The sequence below is a fragment of the Homo sapiens genome, chromosome 1 (genome assembly GCF_000001405.40).
Source record: "Homo sapiens chromosome 1, GRCh38.p14 Primary Assembly".
In the NCBI taxonomy this organism is placed as follows: Eukaryota; Metazoa; Chordata; class Mammalia; order Primates; family Hominidae; genus Homo; species Homo sapiens.
Window position 1 is genome coordinate 212,765,507 of NC_000001.11, and position 12,269 is coordinate 212,777,775.

The 12,269-nt window shown below is 38.2% G+C and overlaps 1 protein-coding gene across 5 annotated transcripts in view; it reads right to left on the bottom strand.

The window, feature by feature from the left end:
* NSL1 (NSL1 component of MIS12 kinetochore complex) overlaps window positions 1-12,269 on the bottom strand; it is a 65,625-nt gene that overhangs the window by 39,354 nt on the left and 14,002 nt on the right. Inside the window, exon 5 of one of the 5 annotated variants that reach the window (NM_001042549.2) lies at window positions 683-767. The exons of the other annotated variants lie outside the window; for them this stretch is intronic. Coding sequence (NP_001036014.1) covers window positions 683-767 — 85 coding nt within the window. The remainder of the gene's footprint in view (window positions 1-682; window positions 768-12,269) is intronic. 5 annotated transcript variants of the gene reach the window in all.

The window sequence follows — 12,269 nt, forward strand, 5'->3', positions numbered from 1 at the left end:
TGGAAAAAGCATATGGTAAAATCCAGCATCTCTGCTGGGCAGAGTGGCTTATGCCTATAATCCCAGCACTTTGGGAGGCTGAGACAGGCAGACCACCTGAGGTCAGGAATTTGAGACCAGCCTGGTCAATATGGTGAAACCCCATCTCTACTAAAAATACAAAAATTAGCATGCCTGTAATCCCAGCTACTCAGAAGGCTGAGGCAGGAGAATCGCTTGAACCTGGAAAGTGGAGGCTGCAGTGAGCCAGATCGCACCACTGCATTCCAGTCTGGGAAAGAGAGTCAGGCTCTGTCTTTAAAAAAAAAAACAAAAAAAACAGCATCTCTTTATGATTAAAAACCCTCGGGCTGGGCGCAGTGGCTCACACCTATAATCCCAGCACTTTGGGAGGCCAAGGTGGGTGGATCACGAGGTCAGGAGATTGAGACCATCCTGGCCAACACGGTGAAACCCTGTCTCTACTGAAAATACAAAAAATTAGCTGGGCGTGGTGGCGGGTGCCTGTAGACCCAGCTCTTCCGGAGGCTGAGGCAGGAGAATGGCGTGAACCTGGGAGGTGGAGCTTGCAGTGAGCCGAGATCACACCACTGCACTCCAGCCTGGGCGACAGAGCGAGACTCCATCTCAAAAAAAAAAAAACAAAAAAACCCTCAACAAACTAGGCAAAGAAGAGACTTACCTCGAAGTAATAAAAACCATATATGACAAATCCACAGCCAACATCATGTTGAATGGGGAAAAGTTGAAAGCATTCCCGTTGAGAACTGGAACAAGACAAAGATGCCCACTTTCACCACTTCTATTCAACATAGTACTCAGCCAGAGCAATCAGACAAGAGAAAGAAATGAAGAAAATCCATATTGCAAAAGAGGAACCCAAACTGTCACTGTTTGCCAGTGATATGATCGTATACCTTAGAAAACCCTGAAGACTCCATCCTGGCTAACATGGTGAAACCCTGTCTCTACTAAATATACAAAAAAAATTAGCCAGGCATGGTGGCAGGCGCCTGTAGTCCCAGCTCCTTGGGAGGCTGAGGCAGGAGAATGGTGTGAACCTGGGAGGTGGAGCTTGCAGTGAGCCGAGATCGTGCCACTGCACTCCAGCCTGGGGTGACAGAGCGAGACTCCATCTTAAAAAAAAAAAAAAGAAAAAAAAAGAAAACCCTGAAGACTCATCCAAAAAGCTCCTAGATTGGATAAATAAATTTGGTAAAGTATCAAAGTACAAAATCAGTGTACACACATCAGTAGCACTGCTACACACCAACAATGACCAAGCTGAGAATCAAATCAAATTTAAAAACTCAACCACTTTTACAACAGCTGCAAAAACAAACAAACAAACAAAAACTTAGGAATATACTTAACCAAGGAGGTGAAGGCCCTCTACAAGGAAAACTACAAAACACTGCTGAAAGAAATCACAGATGACACAAACAAATGGAAAACACATCCCATGTTCATGGATGGGTAGAATCAATATTGTGAAAATGACCATACTGCCAGACGCAATCTACAAATTCAACGCAATTCCCATCAAGATACCACCATAATTCTTCACAGAACTAGAAAAAACAATCCTAAAATTCATATGAAACCAAAAAAGAGCCCACATAGCCAAAGCAAGACTAAGGAAAAAGAACAAATCTGGAGGCTTTACATTATCTGACTTCAAACTATACTGTTAGGCCACAGTCACCAAAACAACATGGTACTGGTATAAAAATAGGCACACAGATCAATGGAACAGAACAGAGAACTCAGAAATAAAGCCAAATACTTACAGTCAACTGATCTTTGACAAAACAAACAAAAACATAAAGTGGGGAAAGGACATCCTAATTGGCAAGCCACATGTAGAAGAATGAAACTGGATCCTCATCTCTCACCTTATACAAAAATCGACTCAAGATCGATCAAAGACTTAAATCTAAGACCTGAAACCATAAAAATTCTAGAAGATAACATCAGACAAACTCTTCTAAACATTGGCTTAGGCAAAGAATTCATGACTAACACCCCCAAAGCAAATGCAACAAAGACAAAAATAAATAAATGGGACCTAATTAAACTAAAAAGCTTCCGTAGAGCAAAAGAAATAATCAGCAGAGTAAACAGACAACCCACAGAGTGGGAGAAAATATTCACAAATTATGTATCTGACAAAGGACTAATATCCAGAATCTACAAGAAACTCAAACAAATCAGCAAGAAAAAAACAAATAGTCCCATCAAAAAGTGGGCAAAGGACATGGATAGACAATTCTCAAATAAGATGTACAAACAGCCAACAAACATATGAAAAAAATGCTTAACATCACTAATCATCAGAGAAATGCAAATTAAAACCATAATGAGATACCACTTTACTCCTGCAAGAATGGCCATAATTAAAAAGTCAAAAAACAATAGATGTTGGCATGGCTGTGTTGAGAAGGGAACACTTTCACAATGCTGGTGGGAATGTAAATTAGTACAACCACTATTGAAAACAATATGGAGATTCCTTAAAAAACTAAAAGCAGGGCCGGGCACGGCGGCTCACACCTGTAATCCCAGCACTTTGGGAGTTCGAGGAGGGTAGATTACCTGAGGTCAGGAGTTTGAGCCCAGCCTGGCCAATATGGTGAAACCCTGTCTCTACTAAAAATACAAAAATTAGCCAGGCATGGTGGCACACGCCTGTAGTCCCAGCTACTCAGGAGGCTGAGGCAGGAGAATGGCGTGCACCTGGGAGGCGGAGCTTGCAGTGAGCCGAGACTGCACCACTGCACTCCAGCCTGGGTGACAGAGCGAGACTCCGTCTCAAAAAAAAAAAAAAAAAAAAAAAAACTAAAAGCAGGACTACCATTCGATCCAGCAATCCCACCACTAGATATCTACCCCAAGGAAAATAAATCATTATATGAAAAAGAGACATGCACACACATGTTTATAACAGCACAATTAGCAACTGCAAAAATATGGAACCAGCCCAAATGCCCATCAACCAACTAGTGCATAAAGAAAATGTGAATCCTACTCAGTCATAAAAAAGAACAAAATAATAGCATTCGCAGCAACCTGGATGGAGTTGGAGTCCATCATTCTAAGTGAAGTAACCTAGGAACAGAAAACCAAGCATTGTATGTTCTCATTTATAAGTGGGAGCTAAGCTATGAGGATGCAAAGGCATAAGAATGATATAATAGACTTTAGGGACTCTTTGGGGTAAGGTTGTGGGGCTGAGGGAATAAAAGACTACATTTTGGGTACAGTGTACACTGCTTGGGTGAGGAGTGCACTAAAACCTCAGAAATCACCACTAAATAGCTCATCCATGTAACCAAAAACCACCTGTGACCCAAAAACTATTGAAATAAAATTTAAAAAATATACAGACTAGATCTAGCAGAATAAAGAATTTCAGAACTTCAGCTACTCAAGAGACTAAGGCAGGAGGATCCCTTGAGCCTCCCAGGAGGTGGAGGCTGCAGTAAGCTATGATCACTCCACTGCACTCCAGCCTGGGTGACAGAGTGAGACCCTGTCTCAAAACAAACAATGACAATAAAATGGAGGAGGAATAAAAAAAAAAAAATGAAGAAAGCCTAACTGACTTTGGGACAGCATAAACTGGCCAAATATTTGCATTTTGGGTGTTGTAGAGGGAGAAGGGATGGGTAAAGGAAAAGAAAATCTATTTAACAACATAGTAGCTAAAAACTTCTCAAATCTTGCAAAAGATATACACATACAGATACAGGAAGCTCAAAATTCTGCAAATAGATTGAATCCCAAAAGGTCTTCACCAAGGCACATTATACTCAAACTATCAAAAGGCAAAGAAAGAGATAAAATTCTAAAAACAGGAGAAAGGCCTAAAGTTACATAGAAGGGAAGCTTCCTTTAGACTAACAGTGTATCTCTCAGCAGGATCATTACAGGCCAGGAGAGAATGCAATGATATATTTAAAGTGCTGAAAGAAAAAAACCTGTCAGCCAAGAATATTATTCCCAGAAAAGCTATCCTTCAAAAATGAAGGAGAAATAAAGTCTTCTCAGACAAGTAAAAACTGAAGGAATTCATTACTGCTAGACCAGCCCTCCAAAAAATGCTTAAGGAAGTTCTACATCTGGAAGCAAAAAGACAGTATCTACCATCATGTGAAAACACATAAAAGTATAAAACTCACTGGTAGAACAGACATACAAACGAGAGAGAGAGAAAAAACTCAAATGTTACCACTACAGAAAACCACTAAACCACAATGATAAACAATGAGAGAAAGGAACAAAGGATATATAAAACAACCAGAACTCAACTAATAAAATGACAGGAATAAGCCCTTACATATCAATAATAATAACCTTGAATGTAAATAGATTATCCACTTAAAAGACAAATAATAGCTTAATGGATAAAAAAGTATGGCCCAACTATATGCTGCCTACAAGAACCTCACTTCACTTGTAAAAACACATACAGACTAAAAGTGAAAAAATGGAAAAAGATACTCCACACAAATGGAAACCAAAAGTGAGGGGGAGTAGCTATACTTAGATCAAAGAGATTTTAAGTCAAGAACAGTAAAAAAGGACAAAGGAGGCCATTACATAATGATAAAGGGATCAATTCAGAAAGAGGATATAATAATTCTAAATATATATGTACCCAACACTAGAGCATCCAGATTAAAGCAAATATTATCAATCTAAAGAGAGAGACACCAACACAATAGTAGTCAAGGACTTCAACAGCCCACTCTCAACAGAAAAGATAAATGAAACTGATAAATGGCTAGCTAGACTAACCAAGATTGGAAACAAAAAAAGGAGGCATTATAACTGATACCACAGAAATATAAATGATCATCAGAGACTATTAAAACAGAACAACTATACACTAACAAACTGAAAAGCCTAAAGGAAATGAATAAATTCCTGGACATATACAACCTACGTTGATTGAACCAGGAAAAAAACAAACAAACAAACAAACAAAAAAACCAGAAAATCTGAATAGACCAATAACACATAACAAGATTGAATCAGTAATAAAAAGGCTCCCAAAAGAGAAAAGCTGCAGACCAGATGGCTTTCCTGCTAAATTCTACCAAACTTATAAAGAAGAATTAACATCAATTCTTTTCAAACTATTCCAAAAACCTCAAGAGGGAAGAATTGTTCCTAACTCATTCTGTGAGAACAGTATTACCCTAATACTAAAACCAGACAAGGACACAACAAAAAAGAAAACTACAGGCCAATATCCCTGATGAACAGACACAAAAATCCTTAACAAAATACTAGCAAACTGAATTGAACAACACATCAAAAGTCCCACTAGATCATAATACACCCTGATCAAGTGGGATTTATCTCAGAGATATGAGAATGGCTCAACATGTGCAAACCAATGAGTGTGATACATCACATCAACAGAATGAAGCACAAATATCATACTATCATCTCAATAGATGCAGAAAAGGCATTTGATAAAATTCAACATTCTGTCATGATAAAAAAAACTCTCAACAGGCCAGGCGCAGCAGCTCACGCCTATAATCCCAGCACTTTGGGAGGCTGAGGCAGGCGGATCACCTGAGATTGGGAGTACGAGACCAGCCTGACCAACATGGAGAAACCCCATCTCTACTAAAAATACAAAAATTAGCCAGGCGTGGTGGCGCATGCCTGTAATCCCAGCTACTCAGGAGACTGAGGCAGGAGAATCACTTGAATCTGGGAGGCAGAGGTTGCGGTGAGCTGAGATTGTGCCATTGGACTCCAGCCTGGGCAATAAGTGCAAAACTCCATCTCAAAAAACAAAAAACAAAAAACCTCTCAACAAAAGAATGTACCTCAACATAATAAAAGCCACATATGACAAACCTGCAGCTAACATACTGAATGAGGAAAAGCTAAAAGTCTTTCAAGAATTGGAACAAGACAAAGATGCCCACTTTCACCACTCCTATTCAACATAGCACTGGAAGTCCTAGCCAGAGCAATCAGGCAAGAGAAACAGAAGGCTTCCAAACTGGAAATGAGGAAGTCAAACTGTCCATCTTTGCAGATGACATGTTCTTACATAGAGAAAAACCTAAAGACTCCACCAAAAAAAAAAAAAAAAAAAAACCTTAGAACTAATAGACAAATTCAGTAAAGTTGCAGGATACAAAACAAACACAAAAATCAGTAGTGTTTCTATACACCAATAATGAACTAGCTAAAGAAGAAATCAAGAAGTCAATCCCATTTATAATAGCTATAAAAAAAATAAAATATCTGGAAATAAATTTAACCAAGGAAGCAAAAGACCTCTATAAGGAAAACTACAGTACACTATTAAAAGCAATTGAAGAGAATATGATATAGTTTGGCTGTGTCCCCACCCAAATCTCATCTTGAATTGTAGCTCCCATAATTCCCACATATTACAGGAGGGACCTGGTGGGAGATAATTGAATCATGGGGGCGGTTTCCTCCATACTGCTCTTGTAACAGTGAATAAATTCTCATGAGATCCAATGGTTTTATAAGGGAAAACCCCTTTAGTTTGGCTCTCTGATTCTCTCTTGCCACCGCCATTTAAGAAGTGCCGTTTGTCTTCTGCCATGATTGTGAGGCCTCCTCAGGCATGTTGAACTGTGAGTCCATTAAACCACTCTTACTTTATAAATTACCCAGTGTCAGGTATGTCTTTGTCAGCAGCATGAAAACAGACTAGTACAGGATACAAATAGAAAGACATCCCTTGTGCACAAATCAGAAGAATTAACATTATAAAATAACCATAATACCCAAAGCAATCTACGAATACAATGTAATTCCTACCAAAATACCAATAACATTCCTCACAGAAATAGAGAAAGCAATCCTAGGCCAGGTACAGTGGCTCACACCTGTAACCCTAGCACTTTGGGAGGCTGAGGCAGGTGGATCATTTGAGGTCAGGAGTTCAAGACCAGCCTACCTGGTGAAACTCTTGTTTCTACCAAAAAACAAAAATAAATAAATAAATAAATAAAAATTAGCTGGGTGTGGTAGTGTGCACCTGTAATCCCAGCTACTTGGGAGGCTGAGGCACAAGAATCACTTGAACTCGGGAGGCCAAGGTTGCAGTGAGCTGAGACTGCACCACTGCACTCAAGCCTGAGTGACAGAGTGAGACATTGTCTCAAAAAAAGAAAAAAAGAAAGAAAGAAACCCTAAAATTAGTACAAAACCACAAGAGTCCGAATAGCCAAAGCAATACTGAACCAAAATAATAAAGCTGGAAACATCATACTACCTCACTTCAAAATATACTACAAAGCTACAGTAACCAAAATAACATGATATTGGTATTTAAAAAGACATGGACCAGTGGAACAGAACAGATGCATGGAAATCTAGGTATTTATAGCCACTGATTTTCAACAAAAGCACCAAGAACACACAATGGGGAAAGGACACCCTCTTCAATAAATGGTGCTGGGAAAATTGGATATCCATATGCACAAGAATAAAACTAGACTCCTATCTTTCATCATAGAAAAATCAGCTCAAGACGGATTAATGACTTAAACATAATACCCAAAACTATAAAACTACTATAGGGAAACATAGGAAAAACACTCTAGGACATCCAGGCAAAGATTTTACGGCTAGGACCTCAAAAGCACAGGGAACAAAAACAGACAAATGGGATTACATCAAACTAAAAAGTTTCTGCACAGCAAAGGAAACAATCAACAGAGTAATGAGACACCTGTTGAATGGGAGAAACTATATGCAAACTATTCATCCAATGGGGGACTAGTATCCAATATACACAAGAAGCTCAAATAACTCAACAGCAAAGAAAAAAAAATCCTGTTAAAAAGAAGGTAAAGGATCTGAATAGACATTTCTCAAAAGAAGACATGCAAATAGCCAAAAGATATATGAAAAGATGCTCAACATAACTAAACATCAGGGAAATGCAAATCAAAATCACAATGAGTTATCAACTTACCCCAGTTAAGATATGACTACTATCAAAAAGATAAAAAATAACAAATGCTGGTGAGGATGTGAAGAAAAGGGAACTTTTAGACATTGTTGGTCAGAATGTAAATTAGTATAGCTACAATGGAAAACAATATGGAGGTTCCTCAAAAAAAAACTAAAAATAGAATTACCATATGCTCCACCATTCCTGCCACTGGGTATTCATCCAAAGGAAACAAAATCAGTATATCTAGGCAATATCCACATCCCCATTTTTATTACAGCACTATTCACAATAGCCTAGATACGGAATCAACCTAAGTGTCCATCAACAGATGAATGAATAAAGAAAAGTGGTGTATATACACAATGGAATACTATTCCATCATAAAAAAGAAAATCCGGTCATTTGCAGCAACAAGGATGGAACTGGCATTAGGTTAAGTGAAATAAGCCAGGGACAGAAAGACAAAAAGAAAAAAAAAAAATCTCATGTTCTCACTCACATGTGAGAACTAAAAAAATTGATCTCATGGAGGTAGAGAGTAGAATGATAGTTACCAGAGGCTGGGAAGGGTATGTGCGGAGCGGGGAAGGGAGTATGGAGAGGATGCAGAGAAGTTAGTTGGGGGTGGGGCAGGGGTTTAAAAAAGAATTATTTGGGTAAAGACATACAGTTAGATAGAAGAATAAGACCCAGTGCTTGATAGCACAGTAAGGTGACAATGATTAAAAATAATATGTCATATATTTCAAAATAGCTAGAAGAGAAGATCTGAAATGTTCCCAGCACAAAGAAACAATAAATATTTAAGGTAATGGATATCTTAAATACCTGTTTTGATCATTACACATTGTATATATGTATCAAAATATCACATGTACCCCATAAATATGTACAAATATTATGTACCAATTTAAAAAAAATTTAAGGAAAGTGAGAATGAGAGAAAATATCTGCAAATCATATATCTGATAAGGGACTAGCGTCCAGAATACATAAAGAACCAGTATAACTCAACAATAAAAAGACAAATACCTCCCTCAAAAAACAAAGGATCTGAATAGATACTTCTCCAAAGAAGATATACAGATGGCCAATAAGCACATGAAACGATGCTCAACATTGTTAGCCATTACAGAAATTCAATTTAAAATCACAATAAGATACCACTTTATACCTACTAGGTTGATAAAAGAGCAGACAGTAACAAGAGTTGGTGAGGGCATAAAGAACTGGAACCCCTACACACTGAGGGAGGAATGTAAATGGTGCAGGCACTTTAGAAAACAGTCTGGCAGTTCCTCAAAAGCTACATAAAGAGTTGCCACATGACTCAGCAGTTCCATTTGTGGGTATACATACTCTGGAGAACTGGAAACATATCCGTACAGGAACTTGTACATGAATGTTCACAGCAGCATCATTCGTAGTAGCCAAAATGAGTAAAATGTCATTGAGTAAAATGTCTGTACATTCTAGTGTTAACAAGTGACAAGAAGAAAAGTTTTTTTAAAAAGTCTGTATACTCATGAATATATAAATATATAAAATACATAGTATATGTCCATACAATGGAATATTATTTTGCAATAAAAAGAAATGAAGTACTGATACATACTACAACATAAATGAACTTTGAAAGCATTATGCTAATTGAAAGAAGCTGATCACAAGGGACCACATACCACATGATTCAATTTATATGAAATGTCCAGAATAGTCAGGTCTATAGAGATAGAAAGTACATTAGTGGCCGCCTAGGACCAGGGAAGCAAGATGAGAGACTGGAAATAATGGCTAAGGAGTGTTGGGTTTCTTTTCAGAATAATAAACCATTTTTAAAATTGATTATCATGATGTTGCATAACTCTGTGAATAAACTAAAGCCACTGAGTTGTACACCTTAAGTGGGTGAACTGTATGGTATATGAATTATATCTTGATAAAGCCATTTATAAAGAGTGTCAAAGATAATGATGTAATAGATTCAGTATAATGAATGAGAGTAAATAAAACAAATTTCAAAAGCCTGCAATGTCAGCACTTTGGGAGGCCAAGGCAGGAGGATCACTTGAGGCCAGGAGTTAGAGACCAGCCTAGGCAATATAGAAAGACCCCACCTCTACCAGAAAAAAAAAACAAAACAAAACTCAATACCAAGGATGAAAGAAAAACTAAGGGAGTTTACTACCCACAGACTTTTAAAGTATCTACAGAGGCACTTCAGCAAGAATAAAAGTGAACACAGAAAAAAAGGTATAAAATTCAAGAAACAACTTACAAAATTTGGGAATTTTGATTCATAAATGTAATTAATCATTGAGTACAAAAAAAGTAGTAACCATAAATTGGTGGTTTTTTTTTGTTTTTTTTGAGACGGAGTCTCACTCTGTCGCCCAGGCTGGAGTGCAGTGGCGCGATCTCGGCTCACTGACAGCTCCGCCTCCCAGGTTCACGCCATTCTTCTGCCTCAGCCTCCCAAGTAGCTGGGACTACAGGCGCCCACCACTGCGCCCGGCTAATTTTTCGTATTTTTAGTAGAGACGGGGTTTCACCATGGTCTCAATCTCCTGAGCTCGTGATCCGCCCACCTCGGCCTCCCAAAGTGCTGGGATTACAGGCGTGAGCCACTGCGCCCAGCCCGTAAATTGTGTTTTTTAACAATAAGGAAAATTGAGGTCAGGAGTTCAAGACCAGCCTGACCAACATGGTGAATCCCTGTATCTACTTAAAACACAAAATTAGCTGGGTGTGGTGGCACATGCCTATAATCCCAGCTACTTGGGAGGCTGAGGCAGGAGAATCGCTTGAACCCAGGAGGCGGACAGTGCAGTGAACCAAGATCGCGCCATTGCACTCCAGCCTGGGCAACAAGAGAGAAACTCCGTCTCAAAAAAAAATAATAAATAATAATAATAATAAATAAAATAAATTAGCTGGGCATGGTGGCTTGCACCTATAGTCCCAGCTACTTGAGAGGCTGAGGTGGGAGGACTGCTTGAGCCTGGGAGGTCAAGACTGCAGTGAGGCTGTAATTGCACCACTGTACTACAGCCTGGGTGACAGAGCGAGACTATGTCTCAATAAAATAAAAATTAAAATTAAATAAAATTTATAGGAAACACAAATGGAACAGAAACACAGTATACAGTTTCCAAACTGAGAAAGAGAAAAATAAGAGGAAAAAGAAAATTCACTCAACACAATGGAAGGCAATAAAAGGAAAACGGTAAAACAAAACAAAACAAAACAACAACAACAACAACAAAAAAAACCAACAACAACAAAAACTTCTATATAGTATTTGGAAACTAAAAAATAGAGCTGAACTATGAAAGTTCTACATGTCAATGCTTGTGGTATGTAGCTAAATCAGGACTTAGAGATAAATGTGTAGCCTTAAATGAATTTATTAAAAAATAAGACAAACAAATGAATTAAGTGCTCAATTCAAGAAGCTAAAAATAACGGGAACCTCACAAAAACAGGAGGATCATAATAAAGATTAGAAATCAAGGAACCAGAAAACAAACAAACAAAAAAATTAGAGAAGGCAACAAAACTAAAAGCTGACTCTCTGAAAAGACTAAAAAAAAAAAAACAAAAACAAAAACAACCTAGGCTGGTGCAGTAGCTCATGCCTGTAATCCTAGCACTTTTGGAGGCCAAGGCAGGAGAAGCACTTGAGCCCAGGAGTTCCAGACCAGCCTGGGTAACATAGTGGGACTCCATCGCTACAAAAAAAAATTTTTTAACTAGCCAGGCATGGTGACACATGCCTGAAGTCCCAGCTACTCAGGAGGTTGAGGCTGGAAGATCACTTGAGCCCAAGAGATTGAGGTGGCAATGAGCCATGATCATACCACTGCAGTTCAGCCTGGGTGGCTTCAGCCTGCCTCAAAAAAAAAAAGGAACCTAGAACAAGATGTCAAGAAAAAAAGGAACAATCTAAGTTAGTCCCCCTGTAAAGGAATGGATAGTGGAATATTCATAAACTAGAATACTATATACAATAGCTAAATGAATAGAGAGCTCTGCGTGTACACAACGTTGATGGAGAAAAAAGTTACAAAATGATATGATCAGTATGATACAATTTATATAAAAACTTAAATCCCATACATTGTTTATGGATATGTATCTATAAATTAAGTATAAAAACATGAATAGCAAGGATTTACACAGCTTGAGGATCCTGGTTATACTTCTGAGGTAAGAGAGGGAGTGGAATGGAATAGTGGAAGACACAAAGAAAGTTTCAACTATATCTGAACATTTTAGTTCCTAAAAAGGTCTGAAACAA